General features: G+C 48.8%; 1 long non-coding RNA gene across 3 annotated transcripts, besides 3 other annotated features; it reads left to right on the forward strand.

Moving 5' to 3' along the window:
• Nucleotides 2,930-3,224: a silencer, noted in NCBI's record as "tiled region #10445; K562 Repressive non-DNase unmatched - State 20:ReprD". NCBI's record gives its function as "represses a minimal TATA promoter and a strong SV40 promoter by Sharpr-MPRA in K562 cells {active_cell/tissue: K562}" and the evidence as "EXISTENCE:reporter gene assay evidence [ECO:0000049][PMID:27701403]".
• Nucleotides 2,930-3,224: an enhancer, noted in NCBI's record as "tiled region #10445; HepG2 Activating DNase matched - State 5:Enh". NCBI's record gives its function as "activates a minimal TATA promoter and a strong SV40 promoter by Sharpr-MPRA in HepG2 cells {active_cell/tissue: HepG2}" and the evidence as "EXISTENCE:reporter gene assay evidence [ECO:0000049][PMID:27701403]".
• Nucleotides 4,539-5,429: an enhancer, noted in NCBI's record as "H3K4me1 hESC enhancer chr8:11487938-11488828 (GRCh37/hg19 assembly coordinates)". NCBI's record gives its function as "activates a minimal SCP1, AML or CMV promoter by ChIP-STARR-seq in naive H9 embryonic stem cells {active_cell/tissue: H9 hESC(naive)}" and the evidence as "EXISTENCE:reporter gene assay evidence [ECO:0000049][PMID:30033119]".
• LOC105379242 (uncharacterized) lies at nucleotides 6,311-23,443 on the forward strand. Of its 3 annotated transcripts, none has more exons than XR_948960.3 (3): nucleotides 6,311-6,499; nucleotides 17,442-17,629; nucleotides 21,447-23,443. It is a non-coding gene; the product is annotated as an uncharacterized LOC105379242 (long non-coding RNA). The 3 variants fall into 3 exon arrangements; XR_948958.3 differs by lacking the exon at nucleotides 6,311-6,499 and adding an exon at nucleotides 7,200-7,437; XR_948959.1 differs by lacking the exon at nucleotides 6,311-6,499 and adding an exon at nucleotides 16,849-16,937.
• The last annotated feature ends 4,251 nt before the right edge of the window (nucleotides 23,444-27,694 follow it).

A 27,694-nucleotide genomic window follows, 5' to 3' on the forward strand; every position in this document is an offset into this window, starting at 1 on the left:
AGCTGGGGGATTTCCTTGGTAATAAGCAGATAAATCTCTATCCCTTGGGGTGGTTTGGAGGCTGTGCCAAGAGACAGCCTGAGAGCAGGTGACACTCATTCCTAAAACAGCTGTGGGATGCCTTGCTGTTCTAGCTTCCTGCCTGCAGAATGGCGCTGCTGTGGGGAGGCAAGAGAGCATGCCTGGAAAGCACGTGGCATGTGGGCCACAGCAAATGATGATGACATTGATCATTACTGACAATGATGCCATCGATGATAATGATGACATGGATAATCATTGATAATGATGACATTGATAATCATTGACAATGATAATGACATTAATAATCATTGACAATGATGATGACATTGATAATCAATAATGATGATGATGATGATGATGATGAGATGATCTATCAGTCCTCATTCAGCCCAAGATCTCCAGGGTTTCCAACCATTCTCATGCCCACTGAAACCCTAATTGCTTTAAGTTTTTTTTTATTTTGTAGTCCTGGACCAGGCATTAGACACAAGTTCCTTCCTCTTCACCATGGAAGGTCCATTTAGTCCCTAGAAATGTGCGTGGAAATGCACCCAATTCCACGGAGGCTAGGTGGGCAGAACACTTTTTGGCTGTTGCATTTGTGACATCATGGTTACTGAGCAAAAGCTGACCATGGCCTTTTTCTGCTTACCTAGCTTCCTACAGATTGCCCTCTGCCCTGGTGGCTGCCCCTCACCACGGGAAGACCCTGAGGCCCTTGCCCAAGCTGCCCACTGACCTGGGTCTCTCTCCCTTCACCCCGCCACTCTTTCCCAGGTTTTCCAGGCCCTGCTAGGGGACATGAGACTGCCTGGCCTCGACCCTAGGTGGCCTTCCCTGACTGTCTCAGGTCTCACTGACCCTCTATCGCTTTGAACAACACTCTCCAGGCAGCCGTTTTACAAGGTGTGCTCTATGGATCACCTACATCAGGTTCCCTTGAAGAATTTGTTGGAAAAGCGGATTCCTGAGCTCCTCTCCTGTTCTGAATTAGAATCCCTGGGAAGGGTCAAGGAATCTGCAACTGTAGTAATTTCTACATGGGAACTTTAATAGATACACTGGCTTGTCTGTCTGTACCACATAGTTAGACAAGTAGTCATCTGCCTTCCCTCATCATCTGTGCTGGTAGGCAGGATTGAGAACATCACAGCACCTGTTGCAGTGTTTTGTCCACAGCAGGGTTCAATAAGTGATTGCTGCTCATTACCTAGCTATACAGGTAGATATGGATGGATGGATGGATGGATGGAAGGATGGATGATGGATGGATGGAAGGATAGATAGATGGTTGGATAGGTGGATTGATAGATGATGGATGGATGGATGGATGGATGGATAAATGGATAAATGGATGGATGGATGGATGGATATCTGGATGGATGGATAAATGGATGGATGGATGGATGGATGAATAGATTATTAGATGGATAGATGGATGAGTGGGTGAATAAATGAATGGATAGATAGATAGATAGATAGATAGATAGATAGATAGATAGATAAAGTAAAACCTTGTTACAGTAGTGCTGGTCACAGTTCTTCTGGTATCCTGTGGAACTGAAGTGTGAGATGTACAGAAAGTTCTCATGAGAGACCGGGGCCTGGATCTACAAAGCTGCTGGGAGCAAAGGGAGGAGAAATGTGACACTTGGACTCTGTAAGTCAGCAGGACGGGGTTCAAGTCTCCCTCTTATCGGCTGTGTGTGTTTTGGTGAATTACTTAACTTCTCTAAGCCTGATTCTCCCCATGTATAAAAAAGGATCTTAACAGTACCTATATCTTAGGAGGGCAGTGAGGGTTGGTTTAGATGATATATGAAGCAAAATCGTCCACAAGCTGGGCTATGAGTTCCTGGTCTCAGCTCCTCTGTGCACCTCTGCCTCCTCCTTCTGTCTCGCGGTCTGGTTCCCACTGCTCCCCCCTGCAGACAGCCCATAGCTGGTTGCATCTTGTCAGAGGCAAACACCCAGAGATGGAGATGTGTCTCTCTCAGTCCTAAGCCCAAGTTTCCAGGGAAGAGAATCTGGAGGGCCCTACGGGGTCCATCCCAATACAAATCATCTGTAGTCAAGAACAAGGAGCCAGTGGTGCAGACACAGATGCAGTTCCATCGCTTGGGCCCCACCAAGGAGAGAAGCAGTTCTCAGAGGCTAGAGTAGAGGATGGAGACAGGCTGGGCCCACACCCCCATGCCCCACAGGTACCTACTGCGACTCCCCAGAAATAAACATTTCCCCAGTCCTGACTCCACGGCTGCCTTTTATCTCCCAGAGCCTCCCCTCCACATCTTACTGGGATTGAGGTCTCCGGCCTCAGAGCTGCCTGCCTCTACCCCTGGATCTGTCCCCTGTTCCCACAAGCCCACCCCTCGCCAATATTACCCTCCCAAAGTCACCAGTGTGCCCCCCACTGTGGACGATCCGAAGATTGAAGCCCTACCCTCAAGGTGCTTACAGTCTAGTTGGCGATACCAAACCAACACACAGGAACAGACTGAAGAAGTATCTGGTGCTAAACCGTAACCCAGGGCTCCGGGGCAGTAGGGATGCAGGGAAGGGGGTGTCCCATGGAGGCTGGTCAGGGACAGCTTCCTGGGGGAGGGAGATTAGGGAAGGAGCTATGGAAGTAGGGAAGAGCATTCTAGGCGGGCACTGGAGGAATGGAGGAGGCCCGGCTGATAAGCTGCCCTGTGGGAATGATTGCAGGAAGGAGCGGGAGAGACTGCAGGTACTGCCGTCATGAAGGGCCCAGTTGGCTAAGCACAGGCCTTCAGACTGCATGCTGGAGGTTGGGTGAGCCTGGCCTCCCTCCTGTCCTACTGAGGCAAGCTGGCCAGGCCTCCCAGAGGTCCCAGGGATGCTCATTGATTAGCTTGTGAAAGGCCACTTGGCTAGCTGGTTGCCGAGAGACAGCCCCAGAGGCCAGGGCTGGGATTAGTGAGTGGCCCTGTTTGCTCTTCTTGCTGGGCGGAAAGAGGACTTTGGTCCCAGCTTATCAAACTGCCCGGGTTTGAAAGCCCAGGAATGCAGCCTTGGGCAAATGTGCAGGTTCACAGGACACTCATTAATCAAACAGCTCCCTTCCCTCCACCCCTAATAACCTGACCCCCACTTCACACACACACTCCTATCGCACTCACATGGTCTTTCAGAGGTCCCAGAAAAGAGCGTGTCCACCATGCCTCAAGCCAGCTGGCAGCTGCGCAGGCCCAGGTGGAGGTACTTCAGGAAAGCCGGCCAGGCGGACTCTGTCTTTCCCTGAGTTTGCCCAGTGGGCCCCAAGAGGCAGCCCGAGGTTCCTCTGGGGGCTGCCGGAAGGTGGACAGAGCTGGGCCCAGCTGCCTCACTGCTCCATACAACTAGCAGTGTTATCCCTTCAAGATGGAATGAAAAATATCCCAGGCAGCAACTTCTAGGGAAAACTTTTGCAAAATATAAAATTCTTTTTTCACACTTTTCGGCGTGAAAAAGGGCATGACTTATGTTTTTATAAGCAGATGGAACTACGGTTGAAAGTCACAAATCAATCTAGAGGCCAAGCCTCGAGGCTTCTGAGCCAGGGCTCTTGCTTTAAAGGAGAAAGCGGTGCAGGTGGGAGGACTTGAATCGAAGAAAATTGAATCTCATTGGGATAATGCAAAGAATAATCATAAATGTGCGTTCCTGTTATTAAGCACTAGATACCAACTGCCGAGTTCCACAATGAGGGCAGAGGGAGTGTGGGCTTGAAACAGACGGCATGGAGGAGTTTTGGGGTCTTCAGGAGACACTGTGAGTTCTGTAGGAGCCCACTGTGCTCCGTGGCTACCAGGCCACTAGTGTCAACCTTGGTGGCAGAGAAGACAGAGGCGAGAAGGAGGAAAACAAAGTGCCGAAATAGCCCACAGTGTCAGACATCACTTAGAAGTCTGCTTCCATCCTGAGCACCGCATTTGAACTTTCTTGACCTTGCAAATGGGGGCCAAAGAGAGGGAGCTGGCTGATCAGGGAGGGCTTCGAGCTAGATCCGTAGACATCTGTGTGGACTCTGGAGCTCCATGGCCAGAGGAGAGAGGGCTTGGTCTGCCCAACTCCACCTACAGCTCCCAAGCCCCGTGGCCACTGCCACAACTGGCACTTAGGTACCACCACCTCTCGCCAGAGCCACTGCAGCCCCCTGTGCGGGACTCTCTGCCCACACCACTGGACAGCCCCTGAAACCCCTTCTCCAACTAAATTCGCACCTAATTCTGCATCTCCTGCTGAAAACACTTCAGAACGCTGCCACCCTCCCACCCCTGCCATGGTCCTCAGGATAAGGCAATGCCCTGAGGCCCTGCAAGCGCTGCAGCTGTTTGCAACCCATATTTTCTTTTTCACTTAATTATAACTTTAGGTTTGGGGATACATGTGCAGGTTTGTTACAAGGGTATATTGGATGATGCTGACGTTTGGGCTTCTATGGATCCCATCACCCAGACAGCGAACATAGTAGCATATAGAAAGATTTTCAGCCCTTGCCCCTCTCACCCTCCTGTTTCTTTTGAAGTCTCTGATGTCTGTTGTTCCCATCTTTATGTCCACGTGTACCCAAGGTTTATGTCACTTACAAGTGAGAACATGTAGTATTTGGTTTCCGGTTCCTGCATTAATTGGCTTAGGATAATAGCCTCCAGCTGCATTCCCATGTTGCTGCAAGGGACGTGATTTCCTTCTTTTTATGGCTGCATAGTATTCCATGGTGTATATATACCACATTTTCTTTATCTAGTCCACTGCTAATAAGCACCTAAGTTGATTCCATATCTTTGCAATTGTGAATCATGCTGCAATGAACATACAAATGCAGGTGTCTTTTTGGTAGAATGATATATTTTCCTTTGGGTGCATACCCGGTAGGCTTGCTTGAGACCCACACATTCTGAACCACCTGCAGGTCAGGGCACTGTGCTGCACCATTCAGGCTTTGCGCATCCTGTCCCCTCTGTCTGGAGCACCTTAAGGCCCCCAGCTCCCCAGCAGAGTAACTCCTGCATGTCCTCCTGCAGGCTTGCTATCCCCTCCCCCAGACTCAGCACGCTGACCAGGGCCTGCCGTCTGCCTCCTCCACTAGGCCACCAACTACTTGTAGCAAACCATGTGTCTATCCCCAGCTCCCAGCACCAGGCCTTGCACCCAGTCAGACTTGAACTTTCCCTAACTTGCAAATGGGGGCCAAAGAGAGGGAGCTGGCTGACTGGGGAGGGCTTCAAAGCTATATGTAGCTGAATGTATGAATGCAGCTGTTTTCACATATGTGGAAGAAGGGCTAGTCCTAATCTGAGTAGCTCAAGAGGTGCAATTAAGGCCACCAAGTGGAAGTGACAGAGAGGCAGAAACCTGGAGAGGCTCCACCATCCATAGGCTGCCCCTGGTAGCAGTGAGCTCCCTGAATGGGTCAGGATGAGCCCTTGAAGGGAATGCCAGCAGAGAGGGTTCTGTTGGGATGACATGACCTCCACAGCCCTCTAGCACCAGGACTCTCAGGGTCAGCTCAACCTGTGGACACCCACACATACACACACCAGTGAAGTTGCAGCTGGGCCCCCTCCAGCCTGGGATGAGTCTTGGAAAATCTGTCGCCATCCTGGAGAAGCCGCTTTGGGCCTGCAAAAAGGCAAGGGGGTTGGAGTCGGACACTCAGCCTGCAGCCCCTAGGGGAGAGCTGGGCTGTTCTCCACCTGGAACTACAGAGCAGTGCTCTGCCCTCCCCTCCTCCCTGAGAGCTGGGCCTTGTGTTTCCGGCACAAAGAGGGCCGGGAGCCCAACCGGGGATGGAGCGGGGGAGGTCTTTGACATCAGAGCCGACCCAGGTGCAGCGGGGAGGAGAGGTAACCTCAGCTCTGCCAGCACAGCTCCCTGGCCTCGGCAGGGCCGTCCTCCCTCAGCAGCAAGGTCACTGTTATCTGCTTCGTGAGCGGTTTGCAGGGCCTGGAGGCTCTCCAAATATGTGGAGGGAGTTTACCCTAACCCAAGACCAAAAGGCCTCCCACGCCTGACATTTTCCAAGTGCTGTAAACTCCAGACAAGGACAAAAAAGAAAGGCCCTTGGAAGCACTTCTACAGCCACAGGCTGTCAATGTTACCTGTGTGTGTGTGTTTGTGCGTGTGTGTGTGCGCGCGTGTGGGCACACGTGTGTGTCAAGTGTGTGTCAGAGCATGTCAGTGTATGTGCACATATGTGCATGTGTCCATGTGTGTGTCCCTGTTTATGCATGTGTCACTGTGTGTCTGTGTATGTCTGTGTGCTAATGTGTGTGTCTGCGTGTGTCCTTGTGTATGCATGTGTGTTGAGAAACACGTAGAGATCTTGAGACTAAATTCATAGAGGCGTTTTGTTCAGAACTTCTCTCCAAGGCCAGGAAGACAGGCTAAATGGCTCCAAATCTCAACCTCCAACTGCTTGTCGGATGTGGCCACCTGAATCCCAACAGCGCCTTTGGTATCTTTAAAGGTGAGCCATCTCCATCCCCACAGAACCCACCCCCCTTTTTCCTGTTTCTGTCAAAGCCACCGTCACTTTTCTGCTTTGAGAGCCTAATCCTCCAAGCCACGTGGAAAGAATGGAAACTTCCCATCACAGTCCTGGATCCCAGCTGCCCCAAAACCAGCTGTGAGTTTGCCTCTCTGAGCTTTAGTTTCCTTCGCTGGCAAATCTGTAAACGTTCTGGGTCTGCCTGAGGTACGGCACAGATAGGACGGTAGTGCAAGGATGCCCAAACCCCTAGGAACATTCTCTCCGTGTTTTATGGTTTCCTTATTGTAAATCCACTTTCCCAATGTAGAATTTAAAACAAAACAAAACAAAAAAAAGCAAAACACACAAAAAAAGCTGTTTCCCAGCCTCTGAGGCTGCAGGGCACACAGGCACGGGACTTGGATTGTAGCAGAGGCCACGCGGGGCCAGGGTCTTGCAGCCTGGCTCCTGACCAGGCCAGTTCCATCAGGCTCAGAAAGTCGTTCCTGCAAGATCACCCCAGAGCCTGTGCCCCCACTGTTCAGTGAGCCTGGAGCTCACTCACGTCTCTCATAAAGCCTTTCCTCTCTTCACTATCAGCTAAGGCTGCTTCTGCGGTTTGCAACTAAGCTGGTCAAGCCCTGAGAATTCACTCTCACAGCAGGCATTTGAGAATAAGAACAATTCAGATTGTGAAGGTTAAATGAGATTATGTGCACAAAACATCCAGCGTGGTGTCGGCTGCTCCCCGCAAACAGGCTCTGGCGTTGTCCCTCGAAAGAGAACTAGGCTCTCCGGGAAGCACCTGCCCTTTCCTCTGCTGCAGCAAAGCCTGGGCTGTGTGCGTCAGGCTCTCCAGCCACTGGGGGCAAGGCCTGGACCTGCCTATCTCTCCTGCTCTCTGAACTCGGTGTTGGGAAGACAGCGGAGATGTGGTGAGTTCAGGAGACCGAACTTTGTGTGCGAGGCCCTGGAAAGCAGCCCCAGGGCCTTACTGCCTACCTTTGAGATTCCCCTCTGTGGCTAATGAAGTCCCACCCTGGGACAGAGGCTGGGCAGTCTAGGGACTGTAAAAAAAAGAAAATGCAAGATTCAGTATCCAGCACTGAAGAGGCTGGTCTGACTGGGGAGACATCTCAATTGTGTGGGGAAGAAAAAAGTGGGCTGGGCTCACCATTACTGAGGGTGTGAGGGTATGAGATGGTTTCTGCTGGAGTAGACAGAGAAGACCTCCCAAACGAAGTGAGGCAGGGTCTCAGTCTTGAAAGGTACACGGGACTTGGCGGGACAAAGAAGTCTGGGAAGGGGGTTCCAGGATGAGGAATAGCAGAAGTGCAGAGGCAGGGGAGTGGTCCATGCTCGGGCTAATCTGCCGGGATGGAGGCTTATGGGGAAGTAGAGGGCGATCTCTCTCCAGAAAGTTCCAAATGCAGGCTTGGACCAGTTCCTGGGACCACCGAGGCCTGGATTGAGGAACTTGGGTTTCAGTCCAGGATGAACATGTGGCTGGGTTTGAACAGAGGTGATGCGGACCTCACCTGTTTGACTCCAGTACTTCGACTGTCATTTTTATCTCATCCTCCCTCCTCTTTCCTCCTGGGGTCCAAATGCCTGTACCCATTAATGGAAGGTTAAGCCACTGTATTGTTCCTCTCCTCCTCCTACTCCACTGAAACTGCACTGGCAAGGGACACCGTGTCCGCCCTGTTTCCCAGCGCACGGCACTTTTTCCAGGCTTTGTCTCTCTGGACCTGGGGTGTGGAACGCTATACATTTCTCTGCTGTTCTTCGAACCCTCCTGTGGCATCATCCACATGCTCCTCGTTTCTCCTCCCCCTTCTCCGACCATTCGGCCACCTCGGCCCACTGCAATTTTCTGTCTATGACCTGGGTGGTATCATCCATTCTCACCATGCCAGCTGCTGTGCATCTGCTGACAACACCATACCCACCACCCAGGCTTCTCCTCAGAGCTTAGACAAGCACGCCAGAGCACCTGCTTAGCATCGCCGCCTGGGTCGGCCCACCCCCTAATAAGTGGAACACGATCCAGGCACTCCAGGCACCTTAACTCCAACACTTTCCAGAACCAAGTCATCTTTCCTGATCCTCCAGCACCACGGTTCTTCCTTAGGCAGTTTCACCTCCCTGTGTTAATGGGCAGTGGCAACCAGGCCAGAAACCTGGCAATGGCCTTTTCTCCCTCCCTCATCCGCACCCCTACCAATCGCAGGTGCCCTCAGTTCTACCCTGTCCATCTCTGCCCCTCCTCTCCCACTGCCCCCACCTGGGCCAAGGCCTTGGCACCCCTCCCCAGCCCTGCACTAGCTCTCACCTGGGTGCCCACCTCCCTTCACCCCACCTGCCCTCGGGCACTCCACTCACCTGAGCTCCTGACATACAGACCTGACTGTGCCTGCCCCTTCTTGACACCTCTCAGTGAGCCCCCATCACTCACAACGTAAAGTCCCAGTTCCTCGGTGGAACATATCTGCTCCTCCATGGCACAGCCTCATGCCGAGTCACACTCCAGGGGAACCCATAGCTGCTTGTAGAGCCCTGAGACCCATGTTGCTCCCTGCCCCAATGCCTGCAGCTGGGCTGTTCCCCCTGCCTGGAATGCCCTTCCCTCCCTCCACTATGGCTGCATGAGTCTCATCTGCCCCTCAAGACAATCTCAGGGAGCATCTCCTCTGGAAAGGTTTCTGGCCCCAGACTGGACTAAGCGTCCATCATAGGTGTCCTCAGTGCACCCCATATAAAGACCCATACACTGCACTGCGATGCTGTTACCTGATGACAGCCTCACCTTCCCCACTAGCCTGTGGGCTGAAGGACTGGGACTCAGAACTCATTCCTATACAACATTGCAACCCTGTCCCCTAGCTCCATGCCTGGCACATTGGGGAAGCTCAATACAGTCTGTCCAACGGAACTAAACAAACTACAGGATGCTTTGGAAGGGATTGGCCCGGAAGCAGGGAGGACAGCGGGGAGCCTGGTACAAGAGCCAAGGTGTAGGTGATGAAGTTCAATTGTCAGCACTTTCCTTTTTTCTTCTGAAATCAGGAAGTATCCCTGCTGTAGGGGACTTAGCAGGTTGGGGACGGAGAAATTTCCCTCTGCTCCCTGGGGTGCTCCTCACCAGTGTCCTCTTGCCCTTCAAGGAAGTGTTCAGCCATAGGTCAGAATAGCCTGGGCCATGGGGAAGGGTGGAGGCATCTGGAGCCTTGGGCTGCAGGACCTGCCAGCTATGGAAGAAACAGGGGACACAGCGGCAAGCCAGGAGACACTGTCAGGGAAGTGACCAGAAAAATCCAGCAGGGGAGACAGCGCATAGACTTCCACCAATTAAAAGAGACACAAGGGAAGTGACAGCCAGGTGCAACGCACGATCACAGATTGGGTTCCGGTGGGGATGTCAGGAGAAACTGAACACAAAATAGAGGTTAGAGAATACTAATACATTATTATTAGTTTCTTGATATTATACTGTTATTTTGACATATATTAGGTCATTCTTGTATCGCTATAAAGAAATACCTGGCCTGGGGCTGTGGCTCACCCCTGTAATCCCAGCACTTTGGGAGGCGGCTGCAGGTGGATTACCTGAGGTCAGGAGTTCGAGACTAGCCTGATCAATGTAGTGAAACCCTCTATCTACTAAAAATACAAAAAAAATAGCCAGGTGTGGTGGTGGGCACCTGTAATCCCAGCTATGCAGGAGGCTGATGCAAGAGAATCGTTTGAACCTGGGAGGCGGAGGTTGTGGTGAGCTGATATTTTGCCATGGCACTCCAGCCTGAGAGACAGAGCAAGACTCTGTCTCAAAAACAAACAAAAAACAAGAAATACCTAAGACTGGGTAATTTATAAAGAAAAGAGATCAAATTGGCTCACAGTTTTGCAGGCTTTACAGGAAGCATGATGCTGGCATCTGCTCAGCTTCTAGGGAGGGCTCAGGAAGCTTCTGATCATGGCGGAAGGTGATGGGGAAGCAGGCACGTCACATGGCAAAGCAGGAGGAAAGGAGACAGACAGAGAGAGAGAGACAGAGAGAGCATACACTTTTAAATAACCAGATTTCACAAGAATTCACTCTCAGGAAGAGAGCACCAAACCATGAGAGATTTAAACACCTCCCACCAGGCTCCACCTCCATCCTTGGGGATTACAAATCAACAAGAGATTTGGGAGGGGACACATACCCAAACTATATCAGACTGTTTAAGAAAATGGTCTATGTTTTAGAGATACATTTGGAAATATTTAGGGGGGATATACCTGCAATTCACTTTAAAATATTTCAGCTTAAAATATATAGTCAATTTACAGGTTAAGATGCAATTGTGAGAAACTGCAAGTTAGAAATACTATGAGTTTAAGCAATTATCTTATGAAAGTAATTACAACTGCCTGAGTTCATGCTGCTAATAGCTCCATGTCACGTTATCTATGTTATGTGTAACAGGTCAAATTGTTCATAACTTTGTCATTCAAAGAGCTGTAGAGGTGTGAGCAAAATCAGTGTATTCAGTCAAAATGGTGTTCATGACAAGGGGAGCCCCTTGGATGTCTGAGGCCATGCATGTGCAATTATTGGGGAGTCTGAGAGTTATCTGAGGGGGGAGGGGGTTCAAATGCCTGAGGAGTGACTGTGGGATGATATGCAAACAGTACTTGGCAATGACCAAGACCACATACTTGCAAAGCTCACTCCCATGAAGACCAACTCAAAGACCAAAACCATACTCCAGGCTATGCTAGAAATTTAGAAGCCAGAACCAAGGGAAAGCTGGCAAGATGAGCCCAGAGGAAGGACTCTGCAAAGATGAGGAGCCCAGAGGGAGATGTCTAGGACAGGCTCCACACAAAACCATGCTGTAGGCATGCTGTGGTCCTCCTTTCTCATGGCTTGTGTGACATCCGTCCAGTTAGTATCAGAGTTATAAAAACCGACTCTGCAGCTTCAGGGTGGTCACACTGCAGTAAAGCAGTGAGTGTGTGTGTATGTGAGTGTGTGTGTATGTGAGGGTGTGTGTATGTGAGTGTGTGTGTATGTGAGGGTGTGTGTATGTGAGTGTGTGTATGTGAGGGTGTGTGTATGTGAGTGTGTGTGTATGTGAGGGTGTGTGTATGTGAGGGTGTGTGTATGTGAGTGTGTGTGTATGTGAGGGTGTGTGTATGTGAGGGTGTGTGTATGTGAGGGTGTGTATGTGAGGGTGTGTGTATGTGAGGGTGTGTGTATGTGAGGGTGTGTGTATGTGAGTGTGTGTGTATGTGAGGGTGTGTGTATGTGAGGGTGTGTGTATGTGAGGGTGTGTGTATGTGAGGGTGTGTGTATGTGAGGGTGTGTGTATGTGAGGGTGTGTGTATGTGAGGGTGTGTGTATGTGAGTGTGTGTGTATGTGAGGGTGTGTGTTTGCCACAGGGTCTGGCCCACGGCACACTGGAGGGAGACCCTGAAGAGGAAGGAATGCTCATATTAGTGAAAACTGAGAGCTGACAACCTAAAGATGGGATAGTAAACTTAACTTACTTAAAGCAGACCAATGTGGACATATAGTTTCAGGGTAGATAGTGTTCTACATCTCATTGGTCATGGAGGCATCACTGTGTTACTCTTTGTCATCAAGAATAGATTAAAATAGGCTGGGCACCTATAGACGTGGCTCACGCCTGTAATCCAAGCACTTTGGGAGGCTGAGGAGGGTGGATTATTTGAGATCAGGAGCTCAAGACCAACATGGCCAACATGGCCAACATGATGAGACCCCCGTCTATACTAAAAATACAAAAAGTAGCCAGGTATGGCAGCACGCACCTGTGATCCCAGCTACTCGGGAGGCTGAGGTAGGAGAATCACTTGAACCCAGGAGGCAGAGTTTGCAGTGAGCTGAGATTGTGCTACTCCACTCCAGGTTGGGCATCAGAGCGAGACTCCGTCTCAAAAAAAAAAAAAAAAAGAATCCATTATAATAGCCTTTATTTAGGGAAACAGGGAATTATGCGCCAGTTTTTGAGTCATCAAACATTATTAACATTCGTTAAAGTTTTGTTTTCAGTGTCATTTATGAGACAATGCTACAAATGTTTCATGTACAAATGCCACATAACTGAAAGTGACTGCATTAAGTAGCCTGGACAAATTTATTCCCAACACACAAGTGATGGAAACCAATACTCACAGTGGAAGGGCTCCTAGAGACCAATTTATTCAAATATTCTCCTATCATAGGAAGAAAACATGAGGACTGGAGACGGAAAAAGACTTGCCATGCACACAAGTTACATGAAAGATTAAACCAAGGCTGTTCTCCGATCCCCTCTCCTCTAGCTCAAATCACATCCAGGGGCTCAACTTCTCACAAAACTATGTGAATTTATACAATCAAATTGGATTCCCCAAGATACTTGTGCTGGCTAAACCTTCATGGGACAAAGAAGCCTCATATGCTTATTTCCTCATCTGTAATGTGAGGATAGTGACCCTGATTTCACAGGACTGCTGCAAGGGGAAAAGAAAGGATTCTGTGTATTCTCACATGTCCTGTGATCAGTGAATGAAGGGCTGTCATCATCACCATCGTTACTATGACTCTCATTATTAGACCAACTCCATAGAGCGGAAGAGTGCAAGGTCACAAGGCAACAGCACCATTCATTTATTTAACAACAGAGCACCCCCATACACAAGTCCCTGAGGGTGGCAGTGTGCAAATTAGAGACTCTGCCCATCTGTTCTTCTTCAGGGACTCCAACATGCAGTGTCATAGCTCACTAATGTTCCATTTGGGCTTTTATTTTCCAGTCTTTTTCTCTGTTTCATTTTGCCTTCCTTCCTTCCTTCCTTCCTTCCTTCCTTCCTTCCTTCCTTCCTTCCTTCCTTCCTTCCTTCCCTCCTTCCTTTCTCTCTTTCTCTCTCTCTCTCTTTCTCTCTTTCTTTCACAGGGTCTCACTCTATCGCCCAGGCTGGACAATCATGGTTGACTCCAGCCTCAACCTCCCAGGCTCAAGTGATCCTGCTACCTCAAGCCTCCCAGGTAGCTGGGACTACAGGCACATGCCACCACACCCGGTTAATTTTTTAACTTTTTGTAGAGACAAGGTTTCACCATGTTGCCCAGGCTGGTCTCAAACTCCTGGGCTCGAGCAACCCACCTGCCTTGGCTGCCCAAAGTGCTGGAATGACAGGCAACAGCCACCCTCACCTAGACTCTCATTTTCTTGTTTCTTTTTTTTGAGATGGAGCCTTACTCTGTCGCCCAGGCTGGAGTGCAGTGATGCGATCTCAGCTCACTGCAAGCTCTGCCTCGTGTTCAAGTGATTCTCCAGCCTCAGCCTCCCGAGTAGCTGGGATTACAGGCATGTGCCACCACGTCCAGCTAATTTTTGTATTTTTAGTAGAGACGGGGTTTCTCCATGTTGGTCAGGCTGGTCTCAAACTCCTGACCACAGGTGATCCCGCCTCAGCCTTCCAAAGTGCTAGGATTACAGACATGAGCCATCATGCCTGGCCTGTCTGGACTCTCATTTTGAATAGTTTCTATTGCTATCAGGTTGGTGCGAAAGTAATTGCGGTTTTTGCAAATTACTCTTGCACCCTCCTGCTATTTCTTCAAGTTAAGTAATGTTTTCTTTTTTTCTTTTTTTTTTGAGATGGAGTTTCACTCTTGTTGCCCAGGCTGGAGTGCAATGGCTCGATCTCGACTCACTGCAACCTCTGCCTCCTGGTTTCAAGTGATTCTCCTGGCTCAACCTCCCGAGTAGCTGGGATTACAGGCATGCACCACCACGCCCGGCTAATTTTGTATTTTTAATGGAGATGGGGTTTCACCATACTGGCCAGGCTGGTCTTGAACTCCTGACCTCAGATGATCCGCCCACCTTGGCCTCCCAAAGTGCTGGGATTACAGGCGTGAGCCACTGCTCCCAGCCAAGTAATGTTTTCTTCTACAATGTCAAAACTGTCCCATTCTGTCTAGTTGTTACCTCAGACATTGAGATAACAACTAGGTTTGTTTTTCCATCTCTAGAAGTTATATTTGGGTCTTTTTCTATGTTTCATATCTCTATTTTAAGTGTTCATGTTTTTCTCGACCTTTTTGAACATATAAAAAAATACTTATAATAACAGTTTTAGTGTCTTTGTTTACTATCATTGGTATCACTTCTAGCTCTATTTCTATTGATTTCTAGTTCTGTTCATGAAGGGTTGTATTCTTTGTGTTCTTGGTAATTTCTACTCGGCTGACAGACACTGTGAATTCTACCTTCTTGAGTGATGGGTATTTTTACATGTTCTTCAGATGTTCTCGAGTTTTTATTCTGGGATCTCGTTCAGTCACTTGGAAACAGTTTATTCCTTTCAAGACTTGCATGAGATCTGCTAGCACCAGAACAGCCTTAAGTCAAGGGCTAATTGGACTAATTGTCACTACTGAGGCGGCAGCTTTCTAAATGCTCCTCCTGATGCCCTGTGTCTTACAAGCTGTCTCCACTCTGGCTAGCAGGACCAGGTTCCTGATAGCGTGAGCTCTGGGAATTGGTATGCCCGTTCCTTCAAGGGGCTGTTTCCCCAGGCTCCAGTAGTTTCCTTGTGTGAATGCCACGGTCTGGTCCAGTCCATCGTCTGCTGAATGTTCAGCGGGGACCTTCTGCAGGTCTCCAGAGCTCTCTCTCTGTGCAGCTCTCTCCAGGGACCTGCAGCTGCCTGTCCTCCCCAGATTCCCGGGTCCGCCTCTGCTCGTGGAGACCACCAGGCTCCACCTGACTCTCCCGTCCCAGTCCTGCAGCGTAGAAACTCCCCAGGCAGGCCGGGCGGAGTGGCTCATGCCTGTAATCCGAGCACTTTGGGAGGCCGAGGCGGGCGGATCACGAGGTCAGGAGATCAAGACCATCCTGGCTAAAGCGGTGAAACCCCATCTCCATCTCCACTAAAAGTAAAAAAAAAAATTAGCCGGGCGTGGTGGCAGGCACCTGTAGTCACAGCTATTCCGGAGGCTGAGGCAGGAGAATGGCGTGAACCCGGGAGGCGGAGCTTGCAGTGAGCCGAGATCGCCCTACTGCACTCCAGCCTGGGCGACACAGTGAGACTACATCTCAAGAAAAAGAAAAGAAAAGAAAAGAAAAGAAACTCCCCAGGCAGAGAGCAGGGGCAATGGGAGTCTCAACTCATTCCTTTGCTTCCCTTGAGGGTCCCTGTCCCCAGCTGAATGCTATTTCTTGTCCAAAAACCATTGCTTCATATACTGGTTTTGAGTGTTTAAGGTGAGAGTGAACATGGCCTTTCACTCCATGTTGGCTGGAGCTGGAGGTCAGTCCTGCTTAAACTTTTAGAGCAGAGAGCTCTTCTTCTTCCCTGGGCCTGGACCTTAGAGGACGCCAGGGATCCGAGTGGCTCTTGCCATTTTACCTCTTCAAGGAGCCTGAATCTAAAGCCAACACAGCAAAAGGCAGACCCAGGAGGTGGAGAGAGATCAGCTGCAGGTGACATCCTTGCAGCCCTGAATCAAGCTTGTTCACTAGATTCTTAACTACAAGAGACAGAGAGGAAAACAAAATCCCTTTGCTCAGGTCAGTTGGAGTCAGGGTTTTCTAACATTTTTGCAAGCGAACAAGTCTCAAGTGATTCGCTCTACTGTTTAAAAATGCATATGATGACGGCATGTGTGTACCGAGCTGGGGCAGAGGTTAGAGAAATTTAAAAATGCGTATGAATAACAGCATGTCTCTACAGAGCTGGGGCAAAGGTTAGAGAAAGCGATCTATGTAAACGAGCTGCCAGGCCCGTACACAGTAGGTGCTCCGTGAAGGCTGTCTCCCTGCCCCGTCCTCAAATATCTGCTTCTTGATCTGGGCTTCAAAGCTGATCCCATTCTCTCTCCAGTCACCTCTCAAACTCCTCCTTCTTTTCTGTTAAGTAGCAAGTCTGGTCTTTCCTTCTTTCCGAGCAGAACCCAGGCTTTACAGTTAATATCCTGCCGCCTCTGATTGCAGCTTTAAGAGGTGTAACATTTGATAAGCTCCATTTAGCTTGGCTGAGCTGCATTGTTTAAATTATTCGAAGACAGATTGCTCCCTCCCCCTACCCTGAGGATTTCTGCTCTACTGAGCTTGCCCACAGCAAGTTACCAGGAAACACGGCAGGGAAGTCAGCAGGGCAGTTTGTCACCGTGAGGCTGAAAGTCAGTTCCAGCCGCTGTTCTGCAGCCATCACACCCCATTATTCCCTGCTAATTGCAAGCCTGGTATGCAGGCTAACTCTTTGAGAACAATGCCAGCTTTGATTGCTGAAGAGGCTTATTCCTCTCCGCACCGCCCCCCCCCCCCGCCCCCGCCCTCTTCTCCCACCGTCCTCAGCTGACTCTGCCTGTCTGGGATTCCAAGCATCTCACACTGGGGAAGAAGAGTCTGGGTTGGGAAGGAATCTGAAGTGAAGCCCGTTCCCCAGGCATTCCGATTGGGGGAGGGAAGGAGGGCACTGAGGGGAAGGCTGGGTGGGTCCCAGCCCCCTGAGACGTGAGCAGCCTCCATTCTAAATGATGTGGAAGAGCCGGCAACCCAGACACAGCTGCTCTGCAAGCCCATCTGCCCAGCTCAGGGCTCAACCTCAGGACACGCCCACTCCTCCTGGTCCAAACGAGGATGGAGCCCCTCGAGCCTGTGCTCATGGGCACTGTCTCACTCCATCCGAGCACTGCTTAAAACACACTGGATAAATGCGGATGGCTGTCAGACGCTTTTAATGAGGAAATATTAGAGGAATATTAGAGGAATAATGAGGAAATGATAGAAAAATCAGAGACTGTGTTTTTTTAATCTACAGAATCTATTGGCCTAGATTTGCCAGACATTCATTTAGAAACAATAAAAATAACTGTAAGGGTGTCTACATGACCTGCAGAGCCTAAAACATTTCGTATCTGGTCTTTTACAGAAAAATGTTGCCAACCCTCGCCCTCCCAGCCGCCAGAATTTGGATTAAAAGAGACTAAAACGATGTGACAATGAAATGCAATGTGTGAGCCTGTCTCGAATTGGATCCTAGACCAGAAAAAGGACATTTGAAGGGAAACTGGTGCAATTTGAAAGGGACCTGCAGATTAGACAATAGAGTGCCTCAAGGTCAGTTTCTTGATTTCACTCGTTTTGCTGTGGTTCTGTGAGCTGTTAACCTTTGGGAAATCTGGGTATGTGGTGATTCTTTGTACTGTTTTTGCAACTTTTTTGTTAAGTTTGAAATTATTTCAGAAAAGAAATCTTTAAAAAATGATCATAAGGAGAGGACATTCTTACTCCCCAGAATTCTTGGAGCCTGGGAAAGGTGGGTTTGGTGGGGAGGGGTCTGGGAAAGAAGTTCTCAGAGCAGATGCAGTTACTCCCAGAGAGCTAGAGTGTCGGGGGCGTGGAGTCGGGGGGAACCCAGGGCTCCGGGGAACATGGGCTTTTGGAAAGGACATGGAGTGAGGAGGGAGACGAGGCAAGGTGGCAGAAGGACGTACCTGAAGTGATCCTTAAAGCTGCAGTGAATTCACTAACCAGATGACATACAAGAGTGGCAAGATTTCTGCTTGAAGAGGTGAAGGGTCCAACATCGTGCCAGCTGGCAGGAGGCTGACCAGAGGTAACAGATCTGGATGTAGGAGCCAAGGCAAGGGCCATAAGGAAGAGAGGCTGGCCCTTCACAGCAGTCCCAGGAGGCCTCGGGGCTTCCCCAGGCTGTGCCACAGGATCAGAGCGAGGTGCACCTCAACTGCCAAGGGGCAGAGAGGCTCCAAGTGCAGGGTTAACCTCTCATGCACTACGGAACCCACAACGGGCATTACTTTTTGCAAGGGAGCTTACCGCTTCTGCTCCCTTGAGAACACACAGCCGAGGCTGATATGGAGCCTAAGCTGGGCACCAGCAGTCACTCCATCAGAACTCAGTGCACTCCCTGAGTTGTTTGCTTTCTCCAGCTGTAGAACCTGCTAACCAAACTCTGGAGGAGGCACATTTGTGTGCTGTAAGCAGCATGATCCATCTGTGGATTACCTATGAATAGTAACTAATCACAAAACAGAGAAGTCTTGCATACTGCAAAAGTATCTTTAAGCAAGCATGGATGTAAAGAGGCCAGATGATCCCTATCAGGTAGGTAGGAAAATGGCCAGGTTAGGCAGCGTGGCCTTAAGAATGCACCTTACACACACCCTCCCACCCCACCTGCCCACTAGGGCAGCGCTAATGGACCAGGCCGCACCGCTGCTCTGAAATCCAGGGCAGCTTTTCCAGGGAGGTCTCCCTTCCCACCATGCACAGGCTGCTCCCAGCCACAACTGAGTGCAGCAGGGAGAGCGGGCGGGCTCCTCCGGTGGCCAGCGTGAGTGCAGTGACACCGTGACTGCTTTGCCAGACTTGCCTTTGATGGCATCTTGGTCAAGAAATTTCCACCCAACTGTCTCTCCCTCTTTCCTTCATCGAATTTAAACTTGCTTTGCAGACTGACAGTTCCAGATTCTCTTGCTCCTTCCTCATTTTCTCTCACACATGCATTTCCCCTAAGAAAATCTTTGCACGTTTAATACCATGTTAGCATCTGTTTCTGGGAGGATCAAGACTGACCAGGCAGTGTGGGAAAAGGCTGGTCTGCTTCGTGTGTGCTCTTCCCAAGATGCTTCCCTCCTCAAAGATCACCCTCGAGGTGCAGCAAGGCTTTGGGAGGAAGATATTTTCATAGTGCTTTTTAAATAGTTAAATTCCAGGTATACGACCTTTACTATGATTATAAGAGGAGGTGGTAAAGTATACATCCTGGGGGAAAAATAACCGTCAAACTGTTGATTTCTAGTTAGATACCTTCCTATCAGTTGCAGTGATATCACTTTTGTGCTACTTAGTGCCAATGTCTTTAAATGTTTTGTTGAACAATTACTAAAGGCAATTTATAAGGAAAAACATGATCCTCTACCTCTGCCCCCCAAAAAGTGAGGAATATTTCAGATGAATAAGCCTCAGAATTAGGGATCAAGTCAGAAAGCACAGTGGAAGATCATTAGATTGATTGAACCTCTATTTCAACAAGAGTCACATAATGCATATTTGCAATATGCAATTGTCAAAGCCATACAGTTTTTCATTGGCTTTGCTTAATTTCCGCAAATGCTTTCTCCAACATAAAAATATATGTGTAGGTGTGCCTATTTACAAACTAGGAAGCTGCATCAGAAACAGCACGATTTAGAGGGAAAGGGGGAAAGACAAAATTAAGGGAAGAGCCGGGAAGGAAACCCAGAAGGGAAGAATGAGGGAAGAGTGTCCACTCTGTCTGTGAGTTGGCAAATTCAAATGATGTGCATTTGGGAAAGGGAAGGATCATTGGCTCTGTGGCTGGAGATCCCCTTCGCAGGATGAAGCAGGGAGATGTATGGGTTTGCCAACCCTGCTACTGACAAAAGTCCCAGCCTGAAGTGCCCAAGATGTGCCCCACGTCATCCTGATGGGTAAAAACATGGAGGGGGAATCTTATCTCTCAGAGGAGGAGAGGGAAACATTTGGAAAACTTTCCTATCTCCACTCATGCCAAGGATGTTGGGGACATTCATTGTGTGGGAGCCCCAGGAGGAGGGACCCCAGATCAGTCAGAGCAGGGGTCCTGTGGAGGGCAAGGAAGACAGGCTCGGCACTAGCCTCAGCCCCTCCCTATGCTGAGGAAGCCAAAGGCTGTCTTAAAACAGTCAAGGAGGTAAAGAGCCCTGGAAGTTAGCACTGAACAAAGCCTGGCCCTTTTGGTACTCAGTCCACTTGCTGAGGGTTAGGAAGTGGGGCTTGGAGAGACTGAAAGGTACTAAGTGAAGAGCTGGGGTTAGACCTGCCTGACGGCACCATGTTGGTGCCCTGACTCTGTCCTGTGACTCTAATCAAGAAGGCATTCCTGCACTCGCCTGATGACTCTCTCAGCACTCACTTCCTTGGCTGGATTTTGGACTCAAAGCTGCCCAAGTAATGACATCAGATTTGTCTTTGCTTAAGACAGCTCTTTTAAATTGTTTTCAGCACAACTCACAGTAGCAAACATATCTTTACCTGCAGTCCAATACACAAATGTGTGTATCAAGTACCTGAAACAAAAGTGTCACAAGACAATACTCACCCTGAAGATTTGCTATGCATCTAGTATTTTCTTTTCCTGTCTCTTCTTGTCCTTTCTCTACCATTCTTAAAAAGAAAAATGCGCTTGTAATTGGACAAGCACTAGCTGAAAGATCACAACTCTGGTGACCCAGGGGCACTTGGTGGCCTCCACAGATTCCCCTAAAGAGGTAGCAGGTCATTAGTGAGGTTATATGGAATTATGTGGACCCTGTAGACCATGGGTCAGTCCACTCCACTAAAACACTCGTATTCTAAGTCCAAGGGACATGCCTTAACTCAGATACTCTTACAGCTTTTGACTACAGCAACAATCATTTATACTTCACTTGCGTATATTATCCCAATAGAAAATGCTCAGAATGGCCAGGTACAGTGGCTCATGCCAGTAATCTCAGCACTTTGGGACGCCGAGGTGGGGGGAATCACTTGAGGCCAGTTCGAGACCAGCATGGCCAACATGGTGAAACCCCCGTCTCTACTAAAAATACAAAAATTAGGCCAAGCATCATGGCTCACACCTGTAATCCCAACACTTTGGGAGGCAGAGGCGGGTGAATCACCTGAGGTCAGGTGTTTGAGACCAGCCTGGCCAACATGATGAAATCCTGTCTCTACTGAAAATACCAAAAAAAAAAAAAAAAAAAAAAAAAAAAATAGCCAGGTGTGGTGGTGGACACCTAGAATCCCAGGCACTTGGGAGTCTGAGGTGACTCTATCTCAAAAAAAAAAAAGAAAAAAAGAAAAAGAAAAAGAAAAGAGAAAATGCTCAACCTAGCAAAATAACTGATGTGATTTTCTTGTTTAACAGAGGGAAAGTTTCTTATGGTCATCTCACAACAATCGTTGTCCCTCCAATAGGGAATTCCGCCAAAGTCTGCTCCGCAAAGCACGAGCAAATGTTCAGGGTCTGGAGACAGTAGATTGCTCCAGGAGAAATATGAAGGAGCCACCGTGATTCCATATCTGCCTGGGAACTCTTTTAAGCTGCTGAGGTCAGAAGAGATTTGCAAAGCCCTCCAAGAGACTTTACCGAAAGACATCGTGTGCTGGGGGTTAATGTTTTTCTTCATTAGTTGTGTTTGTAGCTTCTTGAAATTATTGTATATGGACTGGCACCCGCCTCAGCCTCCAGTCATCAGCACAACTGCATCGGGGGATGGCCTCCTGGCTTCATCTATCAAACAAGCCACTGTCTGCAGACGTTCTGGGATTTGTTGTATTTGGGGTTAAACGGGGGAGGAGGGAAAATTAACGGGTTTCTATAAAGAATCACTTCTCTGGTTCTCGTTAAAGCTCTGAGGGTCACAGGAAATCTCTGGTTTCAAACAACTGTATGTGGCGTGATCCTGTTTACTTGAAATGTCTAGCTGAGACCTAGCTTTGCCACATTAATACTAAATAAGTAATATCCACAGAAGCTACTTTTTGGTCCTCTTTGCCAAAAATCTTGAGGAAGGGGTCCAGCACAGAAGCCTTACATGCATGTTTCATATAGAAGCCACAGGGTCAGTGGAAACTAGGCTTCCTTATTTTTTTTTTAAGCTGTTTCATGACAGATAAAACTCAGCTGGTAAGCCAATCCATACCAAATGACCCACCAGGGCCACCGTACTTGTTACCACCCAAGAGGTAGTTCCATGAACTTCATATTTATTCTCTTTCTATCTAAACTCCCTCTCTGAAATGGATCCAATGGGCGTACTTACCTGAGGTGTAAATGGTTGGTAAGTAGAGTTGCCAGATTTCGCACATAAAATACAAACTCCACAGTTGAATTTGTATTTGAGACAAATGATGAATAATTTTAAGTATAGTATGTCCTGTGCAATGTTTGAAACATACGTAAGCTAATTTATTACTTGTTGTTTATCTGAAATTGAAATTTCGTTGGGCATCTTGTATTTTATCTGGCAGCCCTACTGCTAAGGCCCAATGTGCTACCTTTTAAAGGAACTTGATGTCTAACAGGAGACAATAATAGCCAACGTTGTGATTAGGAAGGAGGGCTTATGGGCCTGGGAGAGTTCCCCAGATAAGAGGAGCTTCCTCACCTAAGAATTTGCTTCGTGTCAGAAGGGGCAGCTTATCTGGCCATCTGGTCCCTAAACAAACTCTGTGTCGTGGCCTGTGAGGATGGTGGCATTGCTGGGTGCCCACTGCTTTACAGTCATGATGAGGGGGATATTATCATCCGCTTTTACAAAAGGGTAAACTGAGTGCAGGGAGGTTAGAAACGTGTCCAGTTCACCCCATGGGAAGCGGTCACCTGAGTGGTTGGGGACCAACGTGGGAGAGAGGGAACGTTACCTTAAGCTGCTGCCCTGGGCACGGAGAGACACAGATGGACAGCAAGGATGCAGAGGGATGCCTGGTGTTCCCGACACTTCGTGGATGGTCCCAGCGAAAGGAGGCTTGTGCAAAGTGTTTTATGATGCTTATGCATCCGGGAAGCTTCAGGGACAAAGTGATTTTGGAGAAAATCAGTTAAAGATTTTTAAAGAGGGGATTTAATTGGAGGGAGGCAGAAGAGGTGCCAACTTGATTTCTGAAAATTGTAATCCCTACTGCTCTCAGAGCCACTGCCTGGTACGGAAAGTGTATCTTCTCCCACTGGCTTTGCACACCATTTAACAGGAAATTCAAGTCGAAATATCAGGGGGAAAAAAAGCCTCCTAGCCTTATTACTAGAAGAAGACCCCTCCCTCCCACCATTTGTAATAGAACCCTCTTCAGGACGAGGCCTCCGGAATTGCTGTTTATCTCTTATTCGTGCTCTAATAAAATCAATATGTGTGTCCTACTAAACTTGGATCTACCGACAGTGAATTTCAAAAGATTCTGAACTCTCTGCAGGCCTACATCAGTGGTTCTCAACCAGGGGATTTTGTCCCCAGGGAACATTTGACAGTCTCTGGAGATGTTTTGGGTTGTTACAACTTGGAGGTGGGGGCAGGAGTGCAACCTACGTCTAATGGACAGAGGCCAGAGATGCTGCTAAACAGCCTACCCTGCACAGCAGGAAAGAATCTCTTCTTTGTGTCTCCCCAGCAAAGAATCCTCTGGCCAAAAAATCTAGCCTAAACTATTCATTTATTTCCTTCATCTGAGAAGCCTCTATTGAGCACCAACTATGCCCCCAGTTGCGGGGCTAGATGCTTGGGATGTGAGGATAAATAAAGCATGGCCCCTGGTGTCATCAGCTCACACTCTGGCAGGGAGGAAGACACACAGATGACGTGTTGCCACACTGCGTGCTTGTGGCACAGGCCAGTGCACAGCACTGGAAGGAAAGAGGGAAGAGCTTCCGGCAGAGAAACACTGAAAGAGGACTTTGAAGGATGAATAGGAGTTTGATGGGCAGGAAAGGGAGGAAGGTCTCAGGCAGTGGAGCCCAGAGGCCCAGAGGTGTGAGAGTAACATGGCATGTTCTGGAAACTATGCGGGTCCTGTTCAGATGTCCATGCAGCCTGTGGTGTAGGAGAGACATGGCTGATCATGGAGGGCTGGCCGTCCAGCCCAGCGATCTGGGCTCTCCTGGAGTCTAATGCATCAGGATCTGAACACCGCCCCATCGTGTGCTCGTGTGCAAAGCTGACAAACATGCCTGTGGTGGAGGATGGTGCGGAGCAGGCTCTGGCAATGACACAGAAGGAGGCCTGGGAGGCCGAGGGTTACAGTGGAGGAAAAGCTGGGAGACTTTAGGATTTGGTGACTGGTGTTACTTGGGGGAAAGGAGAAGGGAGAGATGAAGGATTTAGACGTTGCAGGAAGAGGGTGAGTGCTGATGTGGCTGATGTGCTCCAGAGCTGGAGCGGGGTTGAGGTGGGGAAGTGTATCTGTCAGTTAGGGGTGCCTAAAGTGCCACAGACGCAAGAGCTTTAACGACAAAAAGTATTCCTCACAGCCTGGTGGCTGGAAGTCCAAAGTTAAGGTTGGCAGGATCAGTTTCTTCTGAGGCCTCTCTCTGTGACTTGTAGATACCGTCGCCTCCTCCCTGTGTTTTCACTGGGTCTTCCCTCTGTGTGTGACTATGTCCCTAATCTCCTCTTCTTATAAGGATGCCGGTCATATTGGATTAGGGCCCAACCTAATGACCTCGTTTAACTTTAATTACCTCTTTAAAGACCCTCCAAGTACACAGGGAGTTAGAACTTTGAATTTTGGGCGGGCACAATTCAGCCCCTACCCAGAAGGAAAGGAGTTCAGTCTCTTCCCCACATTTCCCCGGAGCCGTGGGATTGCCGCGACTCACGGCAGGAAGACCGAGACACCTTCCCACAGACCAGGCAGCCCGCTGGATCTCTCATCCAGAAAAAAGAAACACCTGTTTATTGAGTGACTGCTGTGTGACAGTGCTTTGTGCACCGTGGTGTCATTTCATCCACATGGTAACACTGCAGGCAGCTACTGCTATCTTTGTACAGGTTGAGACTGAGATTCAGACAGATTAGAAATCCTGCCAAAACTCTCAAAGCTCAAATGAGCAAAATTCAGCCCAACCTCACCTCCGGGGCTTCCGCTGCACATGGACATGCCTGTCTGAAGAGCCCAGCTCTCCACTGGAAGGTCCTGCCACTGCGTCCCCCAGGGATACCCTTTCCCTCTGTGTGGCCCGTCCAGAGCCCCAGCCAGACACATCGATCCCGCTACGCCAGGGATGTACCCGTGGTGACCACAGGTAGCTCCTGGGACACCGGAGCCTCTGGCCAATATTTACCCAGTAATTCAAGCAGGTAATAAACAGCTTACAGGTAGCCTCCCTCACACACACAGCAGCTTCCTCAGCCCTCAGACTGGGAACAGCCCCAGCAAGTCTGGGCTGGAGCCTTCTCTGTCTGCCCCAAGGAGCAGTAGCTCCCAACTGGCTGCACATTAAAATCCCAAGGGAGCTTTGAAAGCCTGGGCCCAGGCCACCTCCAGATCAATTAAATCAGCGCCTCTGGGGTGGGCCTCAGGCACCCACATTCTTATAAAGTTTTCCAATGTGCAGAAAAGATTAACAAAACACTGATATCGACAAATATGGAAAGACTCTTCAATATTTGTCATCTGAGGACCAAAATGAGGGCTATGGCCTTCAGCACAGCAGCCCCTCCCTCTGTGCACACACCGCTAGGACTTCCCGCCTCCACACCCCGCCACGTGGATGGATACACCCATGTGTGGACATACACACACTTGGTCGTATATGCACATATGTGCACACCCGCCAGGACCATCAAATGCCAGAGTTAGGCTTCTCCAGTAGGGGGAGCACAGGTCACCCCTGTCTTTTACCCCTCATCATCCGGAGAAGCAGAATAAAATCCACAGGCCCCGCCCCCAGTAATCTTGGTTCCAGATCCTGGGAAGGGTGATGCCCTTCCCAGCATGTAACCAGTGGGGAGCACCACTGCAGGAAAGGAGAGGGGCCTTGGCCATGGTCGCACCATATCTGTTCTGTGTGGGGAAACTGAGGCCCAGAGAGGTGAAGGACTGTGCCCAAGGGCTGACCATCCCTGAGCACGAGCCAGCAGAAGGACAGGAAAGACCATCACACTCTTCATTGGTGTCACTGATCACTGACTTTGGGCTGGATCATTTACTGAGGGTGTTGGACATATCACAAATTCAAGCCTCATCACTCTCAGAGGCAGGGAAGGCTTTTTCACCCAATTTTAGAGATAAGGAAGTTGGAACTTTTTAAAAATTATTGTAAAATACACAGAACATTAACTATTTTAAGTGTGCAGCTCAGTGGCATCACATGGCTTCCGATTGTTATACAACCAATGTTCCCAAACTGAAACTCTTGCACCCATTAAACACTAACTCCCATGTCTCCTCCCCCCAGCCCCTGGCAGTCCCCATTCTACTTTGTCTCTATGAATTTGACTACTCCAGGTGCCTCAAGCAGTATTCATCTTTTGTGTCTTGCTTACTTCACTCAGCATAACGTGCTCAAGTTGCATCCATGTGGTAGCATGTGTCAAATTTTCCTTCCTTTTAAGGCTAAATAATACTCCATTTATGTACATTTTCTTTATCTATTCACACATAATGGACACTTGGGTCATTTGCACCTTTTGGCCATTGTGAATAATGCAGCTGTGAACCTGGTATCCACATATCTCTTCAAGACCCTGCTTTCAATTCTTATTGGTATATACCAGAAGTGGGATTGCTGAATTATATGGTAATGCTATGTTTAATTTTTGGAGGAAACTCCATGCTGTTTCTCACAGTGGCTGCACCATTCTACACTGCCACCAAATGCACAAGGGCTCTGATTTCTCCACATCCCCACCAACACATATTTTCTGTTGATAGTAGCCAAAGATGGACATAAGGTAATATCTCATTGTGGTTGTGATTTATATTTCCCTAATGATTTGTGATTTTGAGCATCTTTTCATGTGCTTGCTGGACATTCGTATATCTTCTTTGGAGAAATGTGTAACTTAGGGCTTTTACGTAACTTGCCCAAGGCTATTGAACTAGCAGTGGCAGGACCAAATTCATACCTAAACATTTACCTGCAGGAACTTGCTCCTAACAACTAGCACTAAGATGACACATGTAGAGCTCTTGACACAGTGCCATGGATGTATTTATTAGTAAATGTCCAATAAATGTGAGCTATTATTACTGTATTAGTTTGTTCTCACACTGCTATAAGGAACTACCTGAGACTGGGTAATTTATAAAGAAAAGAAGTTTGATTCAGCTTACAGTTCTACAAGCTGAATAGGAAGCATGGTTGGGAGGCCTCAGGAAACTTACTATTGTGGCAGAAGGCAAAGGGGAAGCAAGCATATCTTACCATGGTGGAGCAGGAGAGAGAGAGTGAAAAGGGAAGTGCTACACATTGTTAAACAACCAGATCTCATGAGAACTCACTCACTATCATGAGAACAGCAAGGGGGAAATCTGCCCCAACAATCCAATCACCTTCCACCAGGTTCCACACCCAACAATGGGGATTACAATTCAACCTGAGATTTGGGTGGGAACACAGAGCCAAACCATATCAACTACCACTAACATTACTGCTATGGAAGTCCTAGTAGAGCAATC

The sequence above is a fragment of the Homo sapiens genome, chromosome 8 (assembly GCF_000001405.40).
Source record: "Homo sapiens chromosome 8, GRCh38.p14 Primary Assembly".
Classification (NCBI taxonomy): domain Eukaryota; kingdom Metazoa; phylum Chordata; class Mammalia; order Primates; family Hominidae; genus Homo; species Homo sapiens.